At 36.6% G+C, this 20,168-nt stretch overlaps 1 protein-coding gene across 6 annotated transcripts in view; it reads left to right on the plus strand.

The window, feature by feature from the left end:
- Positions 1-18,583, plus strand: part of API5 (apoptosis inhibitor 5) — a 32,534-nt gene extending 13,951 nt beyond the window's left edge. For 2 of the 6 annotated variants that reach the window (NR_024625.2, NM_001142930.2), the window contains 8 exons: positions 561-665; positions 1,843-1,932; positions 2,766-2,947; positions 4,019-4,112; positions 4,562-4,618; positions 9,332-9,408; positions 9,912-10,048; positions 16,482-18,583. Coding sequence is in view for 5 of the 6 variants with exons in the window: in NM_001142930.2 (NP_001136402.1) it covers positions 561-665; positions 1,843-1,932; positions 2,766-2,947; positions 4,019-4,112; positions 4,562-4,618; positions 9,332-9,408; positions 9,912-10,048; positions 16,482-16,564 (825 nt within the window). In the remaining variant the exon portion in view is untranslated. Of the gene's footprint in view, positions 1-560; positions 666-1,842; positions 1,933-2,765; positions 2,948-4,018; positions 4,113-4,561; positions 4,619-9,331; positions 9,409-9,911; positions 10,049-13,294 lie in introns of all 6 variants that reach the window. The other 4 variants (NM_006595.4, NM_001142931.2, XM_006718359.5 and 1 more) reach the window with 3 other exon arrangements.

Here is a 20,168-nt window from a genome sequence, read left to right on the forward strand (position 1 = left end):
CGCCTAGGAAAGCATCACCAGAGTTCTCCACCGCCACAGTGCTCCTGCTCATTCCTCTCATCAAACAGGGACAATTTTTTAAGAGTTTTGATGAGGAATCATTAGGCATCCACCTTAAAGTCCTTATTTGGGCCCTTCTGATTTCTTTTTGTTGCCTAATCTTAAAAAACATCTTTAAAGGGCACCCACATTTCTTTGGTTAATAGTATAAAAAAGACTGCATTGACATGGTTAAGTTCCCAGGACCCTCAGTTGTTCAGAGATGACTGGTATCATTACCTGCAAAAGTGTCTTGACCTTGATGGAGCTTATGTTGATAAATAAAGTTTATATTTTTTATTCTTTATCTTTTTATTCCATTTTTCCATGAACTTATTGAAGCCCCTTCGTAGATCACCTATTGAGGTTATATCTGGGGCATGCTGGGGTGTGCACTATATCGTATTTGTAGTCAGAATACTTGATGCTGTAGCGCTCAGCATTTATTGAATGAAATTCTGCTATAATATTTGAGCGAATATTTGTTTTTCGACAATGCATTTTCTTTGGATTTCTTACAGAAAAATGTCCATTCCACAAGGTTTGTGACATATTTCTGTGAGCAGGTTCTCCCTAACCTCGGTACCTTGACTACCCCAGTGGAAGGTCTTGATATACAGTTGGAGGTAAGCAAAAATTTCAGCTTTAGCACTGATAAGGCATTCTTATATTTTAACAAAAATGTAAACCACTAACTTAGATCCGATTTCTAAGGGAGCAGTTTAAATGTCTGGTAATGGCCAGCCAGTAATCTCCCTAGACCAGAATTAATTGCATTAGGACTGCTTCATGGATTCAATTAAAGTTTGCTGCAATGGGAAAGCCTTACCTGTAGTTTTATTATAGTCAGTCTCTACTTTTGTAGCCTTAATATTTTTAAATAAGGTGTTTAATTCATTCATTTCTATCCATAACTGACAGAGCCAATTTTAAACTGGATTAACACAAAATATCCTTTATTCCTTCTTCAATAGAATTCACTACCCCTCCCAACTTTGTATCTCAACTGTAATGTATGTAAACATTTTTTCACAGCATCTGTAATACTTTACATTTGTTTATAATCTCTCCCTACATTTAATCTGATTCACCTCTGTATCCCCAGAATCTGGCACAAAACTTGATTTTGAATCAAGCACCCAATAGTGATTATTGAATTGGACTGAAATATGGAAATGCGTGTGCCATTTCCCTCATGGGTCTTTGGGATAGAGAAGAATCTCACTGTGCACTGACAAGGTAGTTTGCTTCAAATGTGCTGGGCTAGGCCCATCAGACTGGGATTGGGAAATGCAGGAATGAACCTTGAGAATAGTGGTCATTACCAATATTTTGAGTAAGTATCCAGAGACTAAATTTAACAGGAAATGAGGCCCACCTTAACCATGAGTAATTAGTTCTTAGCTGTTGAGAGTTCTTACTAAGTGTGTCTTTATAGTTAATATATTTATCATTTTTGCCTTGCAATTAGCACAATCATTAACCTGTAGCAGAAAGTGTCGTATGTATTATTTTCCATACTTCTTCTCACAGATATATTGGAAATCATGGGATCTGGGTTTTAGGGTCTGCCCTGCCACTTACACCCTGTGACTTTGTCGAGTCACATAATCTCTGACCTTTACTTTCCTTCACAGTAAAATGTTGGGCTGCATCTATCTCTAAGGTTTTCTTCCATTTCAAATGTTATGATTCTGTGAAAACATAATTGAAAATAAAGTCTTAAATCGTTATCTAGAATTACTCTCATTTCATAACCCTTGCTTATTCAAAAAAACAGTAATAGTGAATTGTGTGTTTTAGGTATTGAAATTGTTGGCGGAGATGAGTTCATTTTGTGGTGACATGGAAAAACTAGAAACAAATTTAAGGAAACTATTTGATAAGTTATTGGTAAGAACTTTTTCCTTTCCTTATGGGATAGTCAGTATATAGCTCAAAGTCTAATTTATTATTAATTTCTAGATTACAAGAACCAGTTTTTGAAATTTCAATTAAACAATAATCCTAATAAGTATTGTTAGCTTCCTAGGCCACATGTTGTTGTCTACTTTGTTTTAATCTTGGTGTTTCTTATAATTAGGGAGAAAATAGGCCATCTGATAAAATCATTATCAGCATCACTGAGTGATTTTCTTATTTGATGTATTTGTATAACTAACACAGTGATAAGCATTAGGTCCTTAGCATGAATTGAGTCATCAACATCTGGCACTCGTCCAGATGTAACTTACTGGGTTGTTATAGCACTGATACTGAATGCCATTGGCAGTACTTCACTTGTAATGAGTCAGTACTTAAACAATATGGACTTACGTTCAGAAAATATTTTTGTAGTAAGCATAGTATAGTTGTTAAGAGCATCAGCATTTGATGTCAAATCTAGATTGAATTCTGACTCTTTAGTTTATTAACTTTGTTACCATGGGAAGGTTACCCTAACTCTCAGAGCATCAGTGCCTTTATCTGTAAGTGCCTAATAAATGATAGCTACATTAATCTTCATTATTAATAATAGCAGCTGTAACAGCAGCTGTAACAGGTTAATATGGAGCGTTGACAGGCTAGAGCATTGATCCAGTAAGTAAAAAAGAAATCCAAATGTCTGGTTTTGGTAGTTTTTAATGCTCCATGCCTTAAAAACATGCACTGTAATTCCCTGAATATCTGTTTATAATTTGAATATGTAGAACAGATTGCAAAATCTGTATATTTTTCTCTCTTAGGAATACATGCCCCTCCCTCCAGAAGAGGCAGAAAATGGAGAGAATGCTGGTAATGAAGAACCCAAGCTACAGTTCAGTTATGTGGAATGTTTGTTGTACAGTTTTCACCAGTTGGGCCGAAAACTTCCAGATTTCTTAACAGCCAAACTGAATGCAGAAAAGCTCAAAGATTTCAAAATCAGGTGATATATGATTGAGGTGGCTCAATCCTTGGCAAAGGTGGTAGCTATCCTGAAGTTCCTTGGGTTTTGCTTTTGTTCTATGAGAGCTCCCCATCCTGCCTTACCCCAGTGATACAGATTGGAGGGTTCAGAAAATGGGCATGTTTGTAAACATATGACAGAAATGAGCCAGGCATGGTGGCTCACGTCTGTAATCCCAGCACTTTGGGAGGCCAAGGCAGGAGGGTTGCTTGACACCAGGAGTTTGAGACCAGCTGGGCAACATAGTAAGATCCTGTCTCTATAAAAAATAACTTTAAAAAAATTAGCGGAGTGTGGTAACACACCAGTAGTCCCAGCTACTTGCAACACTGAGATGGGAGGCTCACTTGAGCCCAGGAGCTCGAGGTTACGGTCAGCTGCAGTCATGCCTCCGCACTCCTGTCTGGGCGATGAGATCATGTCTCTGAAAAAAGAAACAGTAAAAGTAAAATTTAAAAAAAATTAAAAGACAGAAATGACTTAACAAATCCATGGGGGGTAAAGGACTCTAGCTCTTCCTACTTGTTTTATGATCTTGGGCAGGTACCCTAACCTCTCTTGGCTCCCCCAAATTTTTCTCAGTTGTTAAGTGATAATAGTACCTACCTCATAGAGTTGTAAGAATTTAATAAGACAATGAATGTACAGCTTTTAGCATGGTGCCTGGCAAATAGTAGGTATTAGTAAACTGTAGCTGTTGTTATTAATAATACCTTAGTGTTACTGGAGAAGCAGCACTGGAGAAGTCAATGTAAATAGTTTTCACAAAGACACTGCTTATTGAATTGTTCCATTAACAAATTCACATTTTAAATTTTGAAATGCTTGAGCCATGTGTTACCTGTTACTGTCCTGTACTGTGTGGTAAGGCAGAAGTTTGATACTTGATGAAGCTCTTAATCAGAAACAAGCAACTTAAAATTCTCTTCTTTAATTTACTGGTCATGTAACCATTTCTGCACTTAGGATCATTTTGCTGTAGTATAAGATTGAGTTTAAAAACAAAATTGAAGTGATGAATTGCTAATTAACAAATACATTTTCATTTAGGCTGCAGTACTTTGCACGGGGCCTGCAAGTTTATATCAGACAACTTCGCTTAGCTCTCCAGGGTAAAACGGGTGAGGCCTTAAAAACAGAAGAGGTAAGAATACTGGCTCACATTTCATAAACTGCTAGTTCCATACCAAACTATATAGACTTGTGTTGGGAGTTTTTCATTTTCCCTTATCTCACCTAATTTAACAGTCTTCATCCCAGTCCTAATGAAATATTTTAGATTTTTATTATGTTCCTATAACTTAAACTGATTTATTTTAAAACAACTTCTATGTGCATGTGACCTTACTCATTTTTTAGCTACATTCTAACCTGTCAAGGGAACACAGATTATTTGCTTTCTTTGCTACATCTAGATTTGTTTAGAGTCAAGCAATAGGAATACGCATTATCTATAGATTTAAACCAAGGAATTCTGTAAAGACTGTAGAGGTGATTCTGATAGAAGTGTAATTACTCTAGTTCTATGACAGAATGGATTATGCCTCATAGAAGTTATTGGCAATTTGTCTTAATTTTCCTTTCCCTTTGTAGAACAAGATTAAAGTCGTTGCATTGAAAATAACAAACAATATCAATGTTTTAATCAAGGTAAGTCTGTAATACCAAGTGACATTTCTGCAGTTACCATAAAATCATACATTTATTTATTTAAAAGTTTTGCATAAGATACTTCCAACAAAGGGAGGCATGCAAACTTCTTCTGGCTCAAAGCATTGAAACAGATAGATACAGTCTCAGAAATTTCAGCGACTTAAGTTCTAGTGGTCTTAATTAGCTGTTGGGTTCTTTTGAATGTCCAGTAAATCCCTGTTCTGCTTACTCTTAAGAATGGACATGTGGTATGTAGCACAATGAAATGTTTTTCTGTGTTTGTTTTTTATAAACTTGACTATGTAATAAATTGAGAGCTTTCTGTACTGTAGGCTAGGGTATACCTTTCCATTAAGCCATAATTACTTTTCAATTCTGTTTACCCTTCCCAAGTATCTGCTAGCCTAAACAAAAATAATAACCTGAGAGAACCAGAAAAAAATCACAAAGTAGCCATCACTTGTATTATATTATACAATACAGTTACAGCTTAATTGTATTGTGCCAGATGGGAAAAAGAAACAGTATTTGTAACACCTAGAGCAGTAGCCTGCCAGTAACAAAAATTGGGACTAGTATGCCTTAAAGCTAATGTAAAAATGATACAGAATAATTATAGTTGACCCTTGAACAATGAAGGGCTTAGGGATACGGACCCCATGTATACCTTTTGACTCCCCCAAAACAACCACTGGCTGGTACAATGGTAGTGGGTTATCAGAACTTATTAACATTAGCATCACCAAAATTGGTATACAACCCCCCTGCCAATGCTAAATTTGGCTTTATAAAAAATCATTTTAAAAAACTGCTAATAGCCTGCTGTGGACAAGAAGCCTTACCAATAACATAAACAGTTAATTAACACATTTTTTATATGTATTATGTACTGTATTACAATAAAGCTGCAGGAAAAAAATGTTTTATTATAAAGAAGAGAAAATATTAAGTGGAAGTGGATTATCACAAAGGTCTTCATCCTTGTTGTCTTCACATTTAGTAGGTGGAGAAAGAGGAGGGGTTGGTCTTGTCTCAGGGGTAGCAGGCAAAAGAGGTGGAAGGAGAGGCAGGCACACTAGGTGTAACTTTTATTGGAAAGAATCTGCGTATAAGTGAGACCATGTAGTCCAAATTCAAGTTGTACAAGGGTCAGCTGCAGTTTGTATCAGAAGAGAGAGGGAAGCATTTGAGAAAAAGCAGCAGTGATTAGATGTTGAGGAAGGAGTATCATAGTGCCAAGTAGAAAACTGAAAAGGCATTAAACACAGAAGAGGTAAGAATATTATACTAATCTCCTAAGGAAATGTTTCCAATAGCTGCCATTTATTACAAATCTTAAATACAAATAATTATTTTGCATAGTAAATTCATATATAAAAATGTGAGATTTGACTTTATTTGAACCGCTGATACAAGTCTATGTTGAATATACAATGTGTTAAGAACATTTTAAACTTAGCAAATGCTTATTACCTGCATGCAGATGAGAAAATGTTCTTTTCAAGAATCTGTAAGTTATCTAAAGGAAGGTATAGGGGAAAGAGAGATGAATAGGGTCAGCAACCTGTGTGTAGAGTGCTCTGTGAATATAGGAATAAAGTCAGTTTCTCCTGCTATACTCTCACAGTGCACTTCTAACACCAGATGGGTGGAAGTTATTCCCCATACATCAAGTAAGTAAATAGTTCTGCAGTGGATACTAGCTGGGTGTCCTCCAATTCAGTCCTGACGCTATCTACCTAGAGGTAGCATCAGATTCCACATGTTGAGGGCCCAGTCCCACAAGACCACTTCTGATGACAGTTGCAAGCTCCAAGTTGTTTTACCCATGCTTCTGATTGGCTGGCTATAAATGGGGATTCCCACAATTTAACCAAACCTTAGGTTTGGTTAAATTGCTAGAGCAGCTTATAGAACTCAGGGAAACACTTACTTATGTTTACTGGTTTATTATAAAGGATACATATGAACAGCCAGATGAAGAGATACATAGGGAGGGGTCTTGAAGAGTCCTGAGTGCAGGAGTTTCCATCCCTATGGAGTTGGGGTGTACTACTCTCCCAGCACGTGGGTGTGTTCTTGTTCATATTCCATCCTGGAACACCCAACCCCCCTCACTCTCATATACACACACACACAGAGTCCTTTTCAGTTTTTATGGAGGCTCCATTACATAGGCATGATTGATTAAATCATTGGCCATCAGTGATAGATAAACCTTTATTGGTGTTAAATCAGCCCCTTTCTCCTCCCTGGAGGTGGGGTTGGACTGAGTTCCGACCCTGTAAGTATGTGGTTGGTTCCCCAGGCAGTCAGCTCCCCCATCCTGTGGTTATCTAGAGACTTTCCAAAAATCACCTCATTAATATAAACTCAGGTGTGGTTGAAAGATGCTTCTTAAAAATAAAAGATTGTCTTTCACCTTTATTGCTCTGGAACTTTTCAGGAAACAGTAACAAAGGGCCAAATGTTTTAGCAAAAGATATTCATATTGCTCTAGTCACTTAGGAAATTTCAAGAATTATTGGAGCTATGAGCCAGGAATCATGGACAAAAACCAAAATGCAGTCAATACAGGCCTTCTGTATCCAAAGTGGATTGGTTGAAGGACCCCCATGGATACCAAAACCCTCAGATTAACCCTCATTAAATGGCATAGTATTTGCGTATAACCTACACAAACCCTCCCCTATACTTTAAAGCATCTCTAGATTACTTATCATACTTATCAACTTAAAATAATTAAAAGTCTCAGGGTCCAATTAAAAGAGTTTATTTAGGTATAAAGTGTGAGATTGGCCATCTGGGGAGCAGAATTACACCAAAGAATGCTGGTCAGTGCTCCTAGTATGGGGAAAAATGAGGATTGTTTATATGGGCAAAAACTGATACAGGCATAAACTGAGGTGCTAAAAAGAATGACATTTTCTATACAAAGGCTAACATAGATATATGACTGGCTACTATTGATTACATTAATACAGATAGATTACATTAATACAGATAGATATATGACTGGCTACTATTAATACATTAATACAGATAGATATATGACTGGCTACTATTGATTAACAGATAGATACATGATTGGCTACTATTGATTACACTCTAAGAGGATTAACATTTTATTGTAAAGAGGTAACAGTCACAGTGGTCTCTATCTCCCTCATTTAGTCTAGGTTTAAGTAAAGAGTAGACTCTGGTTCATGCAATCTCAACACAAAGGTCAGGAAGGCAACGGTCATGCATCAGAGAAGAAAACAGCCATGAGTCGGTTTCCAGGAGTTAACTTTTCCCATTGGTGTAATAAATTTGGGAGAACCTGAAATTTTATTTTTACATACCTAATACAGTACCTACACATCACTTCATTCTCGAGGATTCAACATAGTAAATTCAAGTTTTGCTTTTTTAGAATTTTATGCAGTTTTTTTCTGAATATTTTCCATCCACAGTTGCTTTAATCCACAGATGCAGGAACCATGGGCACAGTGGGCAAACTGTATATATTACATAGTATCACAAGTGCCTTACCTGAAAATCTTGAAATGTTTTTAAGTTGGGTAGAAGTATGTGACATGATAAATTTTTTGTTTTTGGGAGAACATAGGTATGTTTTAATCCATCCTTGACATTTCTTGCAATCTTTACCTACCAGGCAGACTCATCTAATTTCACAACTTCATTTTTATTTTAATGAATCCCCAAACTATACGCCATTTTCCTGTTGTCTTCTGAGATTTAACATGTTTATAATTGAAGATTTGCCGTTTCCTCTTCATGTGGTCCCTTTTTCAGTTAACATTATAATATGCAAAATCACTCCAGTTAGAAACCTCAAGCATTTTTTATTCAAAGCATGTTGCATTGGCCAATTCCCTACTTTATATAGTACGCTGGACTTAAGTTTATATACCAGGGACGATTTTTTATTAGTATACTCATTTTAACTGGGAGAAAAGTTTACTTTTATTGAATTTTACCTATATACAAAAAATCAAGGTAAAGCTGGTAAGAGTATTACTAAGAATAAATGTGTTTAGCAATTTATTCAGTTGTGAGGATATTATCAGGTTAGATTATTTGAATTCCAGGTTATTTTAACACATTCAGCAAACATTTGCATTCCTACCACTTTGATCACTCGGTATTTAAATCTTACACGGTTTTTTTTGCCTTATTAATAATTTATAGATATTTCATAGGGCACGGGGAAACATGATTAGCCAGAGTTTTAGTGGTTTTTTTTGTTTGTTTGTTTTTACTTTTCCTATGGTGCTGGCAGTAAAGCTTTAGATTTTTTTCTAATTTTGAACCACTTAAAAATTTGCAAAAGCACATGCAGATTGCACCATTGTATTTTCCTTAAAGCACCATGGTGACTGCATCTGTGCAAAAACAAACCGAAACAAAACTTATTTGCTGACTTTGTTTATTAAAGTGGATAAATATTGATATATTTTATCCTGAAATGTATACTGACATTTAGAAAAAAATTAGCTACACTACAGTTTGTTATGTGCACAAAATTATGTTAATGAGGTAATACATGTGATTTGTAAACAAAATTGTTCCTGTTTAATTTTCTGTTGCAGTAAGCTCTGTCTCCTAAATTGAATCTTTAAGATCTGTCTTCGTTTCCTACCCTCACCACCACTCCCTGCCACCAACAAATACATTAGAATTCTTGCCTGATTTCTGTCTCTGCAGGATCTCTTCCACATTCCTCCTTCTTATAAGAGCACAGTAACACTATCCTGGAAACCTGTACAAAAGGTTGAGATTGGGTAAGAAATATATTTAAAAGAGATTTAAGTGTTATCAAAACTTAATACGAGTTACATTTACTGTTCAAAAGGGTGCAATGTTAAATGATTCATAATAGCATGTTTAAATATGACTATTAGAAATATGACTTAAAATGTAAAATCTAATTTCAATATTTGTAAAAATAAACTGGTGGGAGGCAACGCTGGAACTTTCAGCCTTACTTGTATTCCTGTAGCAAAACTAGATTTTTTTCTGACAGGTTTTGTAAAGTGAGTCACTTGCATGTAAGTCTGTGAAGCTACATATTTCAGATTATTTTAAAGGCTTGTAAATGCCTTCTGACATTGTCTGCATAACCAAACTATAATTAATTTGATGACATCAAATGTTAATTCCTTTTTTCTGATGAGATTATCCTCTTTAGGATGTCTTTCCTAACTGATATGCTAAATTATAAATGTATTGATAGCTTTTGGCTTAATAGAATGTTTTTGAATTGCTCTTCTTCCTATTGTTACAGGCAAAAGAGAGCCAGTGAAGATACAACTTCAGGTTCACCACCCAAGAAATCTTCAGCAGGACCAAAAAGAGATGCCAGGCAGATTTATAACCCTCCCAGTGGGAAATATAGCAGCAATTTGGGCAACTTTAATTATGGTGAGCGTTTCCGTTTGGGTACAAGGAATATGAGAGATTAGGCAGAAATTGTGTTATACTTTATTTTAATTAGTAATTATATACAGTGTCATGGTTCTATCCAATGACTTTTCTGAATTAGCTTGGAGAACTAGGGCTGTTGAGGAAATGATTTATCCCATTCCTCTCTCATTCACCCTTCTGGGCTGACTGTATTGAACATGCAACATTAAACAGTAAGCACTTAAAGAAAAATATGCCTCTTGTATTCAGAGGAACCAACAGAAACAAAATAAGTTGACAGAACCATTCTTTCCATGCTTTCCCAGTTGCAGCTTCAAGGCAAGGCATTCTGTGCATTCTCCCTCAGGGATGGGTATAGCTTCTGAGAGATAGTATAAATGCTCTTTCTTGGACATAGTCAGCCTGCTGCCTATACTCCCATCTTCTGTAGCTAGTTAAAAAGAAATAACAGAAGTGGAGTCAGATGTTCAGGCATCATCTAGCAAGGAAGATGTGTTCTATTGCAGTCTCTCCCTCTGCCCAGAATGCAATCCTCCTATCAGTGCTTCCTATTCCCCTTTAGCCATTAGAGCCAGGAGAGCTTCATACCAGTCCATCCTCTCCCACGGCTGTCGAATCAAAAGTAAAGTTTATCTCTCATTGGCTTATTTCCTCATGGATCTTTTTTTTTAAAAGAATGGAGAGAAATATCAGGTCAATTCCTTACCTTGCTTAAGAAGACAAAGTTTAGGCCGGGGGCAGTGGCTCAAGCCTGTAATCCCAGCACTTTGGGAGGCCGAGGCAGGCGGATCACGAGGTCAGGAGGTCGAGACCATCCTGGCTAACAGGGTGAAACCCCGTCTCTACTAAAAATACCAAAAATTTGCCAGGTGTGGTGGCGGGCGCCTGTAGTCCCAGCTACTCTGGAGGCTGAGGCAGGAGAATGGTTTGAACCTGGGAGGTGGAGCTTTCAGTGAGTGGAGATCGCACCACTGTACTCCAGCCTAGGCGACAGAGCAAGACTCCGTCTCAAAAAAAAAAAAAAAAAAAAAAAAGACAAAGTTTAGGCAGGCATGGTAGCTCACACATGTAAACCCAACACTTTCGGAGGCCGAGGTGGGAGGATCACTTGAGCCCAAGAGTTCGAGGCCAGCCTGGGGAACAAAGCGAGACCCCATTTCTACAAAGAAAATTTAAAAATTAGTTGGGTATGGTGGCACGCACTTATAGTCCCAGCTACTCAGGAGGCAAGAGGCAGGAGGATTGCTGAAGCCCAGGAGGCCAAAGCTACTGTAAGCTATGATGGTGCGACTGCACTCCAGCTGGGTGACCAAGCAAGACCCTGTCTCTTAAAATAAAAAAAAAGTAGATTCTGAACCATATAATATCTGTAATTTTGTTTCCAAGGTGAGAGAATTGTAACATTAAATTACTTCTATAACAGTTGAATTCTTCTAATGTCTGAACAAACAGATTATATAGAAAGCCAATTTTAGACTGAAATGAACCCTTCCCCTCCAGACTCTGAGACACCTTTACTTTAAGGATGATCACTGAACTCTCTTATTTACATAACAGTATGTAAATGTGCATCTCCTTGCCTCTTATCTGAAAAATGAGGTAAGAGCTCTTACAGCCTTCTAATAACAATATTTGTGAAAGTATTTTGTAAGGGGAAAGGATTCTCCGTTACTTGGTTGAATCACATGTTGTTCTCTGTCACTTGTATGATTTAATGTGTCTAACAGTACCATTCTTAAAATCAAAAGTTATCTCAGATACTGGGAGAATGGCTTTAATGAAAGTAATCAATAGCTATGGCAATACAAGAATTGTACTCCTTTTTATTGGACAAGTCAATTTGATTTTACATGAAGATTCTATTGTGTAAAACTCATTGCCTGCTCAATAGTGAGAATCAGGTGATATAATGCATGTGGAAAAAGAATGTGAAAAATCTAACACTTTAGATTGTATACAGTGTTTTTTAAAAAGACACAAAAAAACTGTCAACATGAGAAACATAAGCAAAGTTTTACTCAAGACAAACATCCACGAGTCACAACTTCAGTTATTCCCAGTCTTCAAAATAACAGAAGGGCAAAGCAAAGTAAACATGCAAAAGCAAACTAAAATCTGATTCTTCTTATTAGAAAGAAGAGTGAATTTCTGCAATTATTTTACATTTGAGAATTTAATGTGATCAGGTCATAGGTATTCTCACAACAAAATTTGAAGCATTTGCTTGACTTTATTTCACCTGTTGAAACAAAAGCAGTTCTCAGTATCCAAGTTTATTGCTTTACTAACCAATGTCTCTGTTTTTTGCTTTACAAACATGGTATTGGTTCTCACAAATTAGTTCAACTTCCCGGTGCATTCATAAACATATACCCACGTTTAGTTTTCCTTCCAGTGCACAAAGTTTCCCCAGTAACCTAAAAGTACTAAATGTTCTACATTTTGTGACTTGTGTTCTTTACTTTTTGGAATATAAAAATAATCCTTAAAGTTTAATTTAAACTGGGAGCAGTGAATTAAAAAAAAAATGTAAGCTTGAAACTATTGAAAAGATCATGAAAATGCAGAGTATTTTTTAGGATGAAGCTCTTCAAAAAGAAGAAAATTTGGTGAATCTCTGTACTATAGAAATGGCTGTATCAATTGGAGGTAAAAAAAAAAAAAAAAAAAAAGCATTTGCCAATATAGAAAAGATAACTACGTCAAATAGTACCTTCATACAGTGTATTTAATTTCCTCATTAGGTACAGCTGAATAGAGTGTAACCTGAATTCATATTAAAATTGAAAGAGTGGATTGTAATAGTCTTTTAGCTTAAAGCTAATAATAGTATCTATGACAGTGTTAAGTGTGTTGGTGTGAATAATGAGTATGATAGGGTGAAATGTGCAGGCATCTGCATAGATGGCTCTAAGTCTAAACAGTCAAAAATGCAGAAGTCATGGCCCACAAAAGGCTACTGCACTACCTTAATGCTCCCATAGTTACTGCATCTGTCTCTGGGAGCATCTTGCCCTCAGAGAAACCACCTCTGATTTTCTGAATGTGTTCACTAGGATAATAAACACAATGATTTCATTTTCAAATGGTTTGCATACTAATCAGCTTGTAAAAAAATGTGTCATGGCATAAGAAGGTGACTTTGAATCAGACCCATTCTATTATACAGATAAATATTAGCCAAACTGGGGAAAGGTCCAGTGAGTTTCCTGTCTCAGAATTGAATTACTTTTCTTTCTGCAGAAAGGGGGGTCAAAAAAGACATCAAGACATCACCCTAGTAAGACATAATGGCAAAAAAATTGATTGCAAAATTGACTGAAAAGGTATTTTTCAAGCCTCCAAGATTGTGGATCAAAAACAGCAAAACCAAGCTCTCTCTATTGTTGCTAACAAGATTGCTATAATGAGGAAGTTTAGAAGTTAATGAAGAGATTTGATCTCATTTACATATGATTAAAAGTCCAGCCTTGTGATAACTTCGATCAGTTTTCTTCATGGGACGACACCTTTGAGGACCATTTCTCTGTGGCTATAAAAGTGACTGACCAATGGATGAGAGACTCTTGTTCTGTACATCACAAGTGACTTGATTTTTCAGCAAAAGATATGCTTAGTTTATATCAGTAGCTGAAACACACTCAGACGCACATACACACATAGCACCTATTTGGCAGTATTCTGAGAAGCTTATGTAGCTGATAAAGCAGTGAAAAAAACTCAGCCTTTAGATCTACATTTGTGTGAGTCCAGTTGCGTGAAATACTGTGATCAAAACAAAAATTGCATATTTATTGCATTCAAAGGGACATTTTGTAGTCTAACCTGATTTTCGAAATTGATTATTGATAATTTAAGATATTTTTCATAGTTATATGAGTTACCTTTAGTAATGATAGACAATAAATAAAGAACTAAGAAGTTGTCATGAAAGTCATAGCCAGAGCAGGTAGATAAGAGAAAGAAATAAAGGGCATCCAAACTAGAATGGAGAAGTCAAATTGTTCTCTATGCAGATGACATGATGTTATATATATAAAAACAAAACTAAAGACTCTACCAAAAAACTCATAGAACTGATAAATTTAGAAAAGTTAGAAGATACAAAATTAGTATACAAAAATCAGTAGCATTTCTATGCATGAACAGTGAACTAGCTGAAAAAGAAATCAAGGTAACCCCATTTATAATAGCTGTGAAAAAAATCTAGGAATAAATTAACCAAGAAGGTAAAATATTTCTATACAAGGAAAACTACAAAACACTGATGAAAGAAATTGAAGGAGATACAAACAAATTGAAAGACACTCCGTACTCATGGATTAGAGGAATTAATATATTTTAAATGACCATGCTACCCAAAGTGATCTCCAGATTCAATACAACTTCTATCAAAATAACTGACATTCTTCACAGAAATTGCCACCAAAAAAAATTCTTAAAATTTATATGGAACCACAAGACCCCAAATAGCCAAAGCAATACTGAGCAAAAAGAACAAAGCTGGAGTTATCACACTACCAGATCTCAAAATATAAATCAAAAATGTAGTAACCAAAACAGCCTGATACTGGCATAAAAATAGATACAGAGCAATGGAACAGAACAGAGAACCAGAAATTAATCCACGTATCTACAGCCAACTGATTTTTTACAAAGGTGGCAAGAATACTCATTGGAGGGACAAAAAAAAAAGGGACAGTCTCTTCAATAAATGGTGCTGAGAAAACTGGGTATCCATATGCAGAAGAATGAAACTAGATCCGCACCTCCCACCCTGTACAAAAACCAACTCAAAATGGATGAAAGACCTAAATGTAAGACCTAAAACAATAAAACTACCATAAGAGAAAACAAGAAGCACTTCAGGACATTGGTCTGGGAAAAGATTTTATGACTGAGACCTAAAAGCACAGGCAACAAAAACATGGGATCATATCAAATTAAAAAGCTTCTGTGCAGCAGAGGAAACCATCAACAGTGAAAAGACAGCTTACAGAATGGGAGAAAATATTTGTAAACTACTCATGCAACAGAGGATTAATATTCAGAATATAGAAGATATTCAAACATCTTAATAGCAAAACAAATCTAGATTAAAAATGGGCAAATCATCTGAACAGACATTTCTCAAAAGAAGACGTACAAATGGCCAATAAATGTATGAAAAAATTCTAAACACTAAGCATCAGGGTAATGCACATCAAAACCACAATGAGTAAGTTGGAAGTTCAGGGAAGAGATTTTATCTCATTTACATATGATTAAAAGTCAGACATTGGCACCCCCATGTTTATTGTAGCACTATTCATTAGCCAAGACATGGAATCAACCCAGAATCAACAGGTGCATCAACAGGTGAATGGCTAAACAAGATGTGGTATTATACACAATGGGATACTATTCAGCCATAAAAAAAGAATGTCCTTTCATTTGCAGCAACATGGAAGGAACTGGAGGACTTTATAGTAGGTGAAATAAGCCAGCAATGGAAAATTAAACAATGCATGTTCTCACTCATGTGGAAGTTTTAAAAAGTTAATCTTATAGAAGTAAAAATTAGGACAGCGCATACTAGAGGCTGAGAAGATAGGGGGAAGGAAGGGATAGGGAGAGATTTGTGGGAGGATGCAAAATAACATAGGAATAAGCCCTAGTGTTGTGTACCACTATAGCATGACTATAGTTAATATATACTTTAAAATAGAAGAATATTGAATGTTCCCAACACAAAGAAATTATAGGTGTTTGAGATGATGGATATGCTTGTTACCCTGAGCTGATAACTGTACATTCTTTGTATCAAAGTATTCTACCCCACGAATATGTAGAATTATTATTCGTGAATTTGAAGAATTAAGTTTTTTAAAAAGTGTACGGGCTGGGCACAGTGGCTCACACCTGTAGTCCCAGCACTGAGGCAGGACGATCCCTTGAGGCCTGCAGTTTGAGATCAGCCTGGCAACAAAATGAGGACCTGTCTCTACAAAAAAAAAAAATAGCCAAACATGGTGGTGTGCATCTGTAGCCCTAGCTACTGGGGAGTCTGAGGCAGAAAGATCACTCTAGTCCAGAAGTTCAATGTTATGGTGAACTGTGAACGCACCACTGCACTCCAGCCTGAGCAACACAGCAAGACCCTCCAAAAAAAGTGTAGTTATCGTAACATCACCTTGAAACAACTTTGTTACTGGGATACATTTAATTAAGCAACTACCATGAATGTAGTCGGTACCTTGCCTTACGTGCTTCAGTATATATGTTGTTCTTGTTTTATGTACAGGCTAAATTTGTAGATTGAATAGCAGAATATTAGTTCTGTTCTTATAGGGCCTACTGCTGTATTCAGAGTTATGAGCTACGTTTCTTCTGCGTTTGCTGCACCATGAAATCCTAAGCAAGACCTAAACCCTTGTTCGCTTTTTCGTAGAGCAGAGAGGAGCCTTCAGGGGAAGTAGAGGTGGCCGAGGTTGGGGCACACGAGGAAATCGTAGTCGGGGAAGACTCTACTGAATAAGACATCAGCATTCTTCAGCATTGTCATGAGCTTAATATACTTAAATTCTACTACTCATTGGATTGCCGGGGATGTCCCTTTAAACAGACTGCTGCCTTCAGCTAAAAACTTAATGTTCTTTATACCTTTGTATGTATGACCTACTTTTGTAACAGACCATGGTTGTGTCCAAGGTAAAACCACAGTGATATTTTTGGATGCTTTGTCTGCAATCTTGACTTGTTTTTGCAGTATCATTATTCAGACTTCAAATTGTGAATCTTTTAAACATCTTGATAATTTGTTGTTGAGAGCTGTTCATTCTAAAATGTAATGAAATTCAGTCTAGTTCTGCTGATAAAGATCATCAGTTTTGAAAGGTTACTGATTTTCCTCTTCCCTCTTAGTTTTTTACCCAATATATGGAGAAGAGTAATGGTCAATCTTAACATTTTGTTTTAATTGTTTAATAAAGCTGCTGGGCAGTGGTGCAGCATTCCTACCTAGTGTCATAAAAGCAAAATACTTACATAGCTTTCTTAAAATATAGGAATGACATTACATTTTTAGGAGAAAGTAAGTTGCTTTGCACCGCCTACTTAATTCTTTTCCATATATTGTGATACAAACTTTTGAATATGGAATCTTACTATTTGAATAGAAATGTGTATGTATAATATACATACATACATAAGCATATATGTGTGTGTGTGTGTGTATATATATATATATGCATGCTGTGAAACTTGACTACACAACATAAATCACTTTTTAAATTCCAGGAACGGGTAGTCTGACACGGTGATTATCCTTTTGAGGCTGAATCCGTTATTAACTTGTTATTTAGGTTTTTACTCCCAGTAGCAAGGGATTCTAAGTTAGTTGCACTTACATGATTATTGTTATTTAAAACTAAGAATAAAGGCTGCATTTTCAAAGATAAATTGGAATTGCTGTTGGTGAAATAACAACCAAAATACTGAATCTGATGTACATACAGGTTTCTACAGGAAGAGATGGTATAATTTACAATTTGGAGATTTAATAACCAGGGCTACCCAGAAAAAGTGACTTGATAACATGGTACCAATAAGTAAGGGATGCTCTCTCGGTTTGCTTTTGCCACTTTCAAGATTTTAACTTCTCAGGTTATTAATCAAAATTATTGTATAAGTTAGCCAATAGAATTTTTAGGTTAAAACAACAGATGGGGGGTTTGTGGAGTGTTTAATGTCATGGGCATTTTTAGTAGGATAGACCCTTTGTTCTGCATTTGAATGTTTCGTATATTTTTGTTTCACAGTTAATCTTCCCTCCCCAAGTTTGCTATTCAAATCAACTGCCTGAATGACATTTCTAGTAGTCTGATGTATTTTTCTGAGGAATAGTTTGTGATTCCAATGCAGGTGTCTTCATTACCATTACCTCTACACTGCAGAAGAAGCAAAACTCCTTTATTAGAATTACTGCACATGTGTATGGGGAAAATAGTTCTGAAAGGCTAGAATGATACAAGTGAGCAAAAGTTGGTCAGCTTGGCTATGGAGTGGTGGCAATAATCTCTAAACATTCCAAAAGACCATGAGCTGAACCTAAACTCCCTTGGAATCTGAACAAAGGAATATAAAATTGCCATTTGAAAACTGACCAGCTAATCTGGACCTCAGAGATAGATCAGCCAGTGGCCCAAAGCCATTTCAAGTACAGAAATTATAGAGACTACAGCTAAATAAATTTGAACATTAAATATAATTTTACCACTTTTTGTCTTTATAAGCATATTTGTAAACTCAGAACTGAGCAGAAGTGACTTTACTTTCTCAAGTTTGATACTGAGTTGACTGTTCCCTTATCCCTCACCCTTCCCCTTCCCTTTCCTAAGGCAATAGTGCACAACTTAGGTTATTTTTGCTTCCGAATTTGAATGAAAAACTTAATGCCATGGATTTTTTTCTTTTGCAAGACACCTGTTTATCATCTTGTTTAAATGTAAATGTCCCCTTATGCTTTTGAAATAAATTTCCTTTTGTAATTTTGTTTTGTGTCTTGATGTGTTATAATTATGGTAACTTCAGATTCTTGGATAGTTATTAACATTTATTGATTGCTTCTACTGTGCCAATAGGCTGAAAATATAAAGATGGACAAGAACTGCTCTCTGCCTTCAAGGAGTTCAGTCTTTTTTTTTTTTTTTTTTTTTTTTGAGACGGAGTCTCGCCCTGTCTCCCAGGCTGGAGTGCAGTGGTACAATCTCGGCTCACTGCAAGCTCCGCCTCCCAGGTTCATGCCATTCTCCTGCCTCAGTCTCCTGAGTAGCTGGGACTACAGGCGCCCGCCACCACGCCCAGCTAATTTTTTGTATTTTTAGTAGAGACAGGATTTCACCGTGTTAGCCAGGATGGTCTCAATCTCCTGACCACGTGATCCACCCGCCTTGGCCTCCCAAAGTGCTGGGATTATAGGCGTGAGCCACCGCCCCCGGCCCATGAGGAGTTCAGTGTTGATATAATTTTGTAAATCATCTTTAATTTTGATCCTTGAAAGTTTTTATTTGAATTTATTTTTAGGAGCTAATCTGAAAAAAAGGATTTGGTTTTTTTTTATTAAAGCAAAACATCAGATAATTGCCAAATCATCATTAAGTAAATCATTTCTATCTTCAGATAATGTGCAAAGCAAGTTGGAACTTAGTAATTTAACTGCCAGCCTTTATGAAAATATTCCTGAAGTAGCACTAAGGTTGGTTGTGAGTGTTTGAAAGCTGGGGTTTAAGTGGATCAGGATAAGATAACTAAATTCCCTTGGTGATCACATCTAGGCCTATAGCGTTTTTTTTGTTTGTTTGTTTTGTTTTTGAGACAGAGTTTCGCTCTTGTTGCCCAGGCTGGAGTGCAGTGGTGTGATCTTGGCTCACCGCAACCTCTGCCTCCCAGGTTCAAGCGATTCTCCTGCCTCAACCTCCCGAGTAGCTGGGATTATAAGTGTCCGCCACCACGCCCAGCTAATTTTTTGTATTTTTAGTAGAGACGGGGCTTCACCATGTTGGCGAGGCTGGTCTCGAACTCCAGACCTCAGGTGATCCACCAGCCTCGGCCTCCCGAAGTGCTGGGATTACAGGCATAAGCCACCATTCCCGGCCTTCCAGGCCTATGGCTTTAAATACTATCTATATGCTAAGGAATGCCAAATTTCTTTCCCCATTATTTCTTGCCTAGAGTTTCGTAATAACCTCCTAATTGATCTCCCTGCCGTTACACCTAACTCTACAATCTGCTTGAAACCCAGCAGCAAAGAGACATCTACTTTTCTGCCAGAAATTGTTCACTGGCTCCCCGTTTCAGAATAGTAACCAAAAACATTACCATGGCTTTTAATTGTGACCTCAGCTGCTATTCTTCCCCTCCCCTTGATCACTCTGCTGCAGCCAGTTAGCCTCATGCAGGCCAAAGACATCCTCCTGCCTTACAGCCCTTGCGTTAGCTAGCTACCCCCTCTTGTCAGTATTCCTTTATTTATTTATTTATTTATTTTATTTTTTTTTTTTTTATATTTAAAGAGGTCTTTTATTTAAATCATCTTGTATCATGTCTGACACATTATTGGTTTTTTTTTTGTTTTTTT

This window comes from Homo sapiens, chromosome 11 (genome assembly GCF_000001405.40).
Source record: "Homo sapiens chromosome 11, GRCh38.p14 Primary Assembly".
In the NCBI taxonomy this organism is placed as follows: Eukaryota; Metazoa; Chordata; class Mammalia; order Primates; family Hominidae; genus Homo; species Homo sapiens.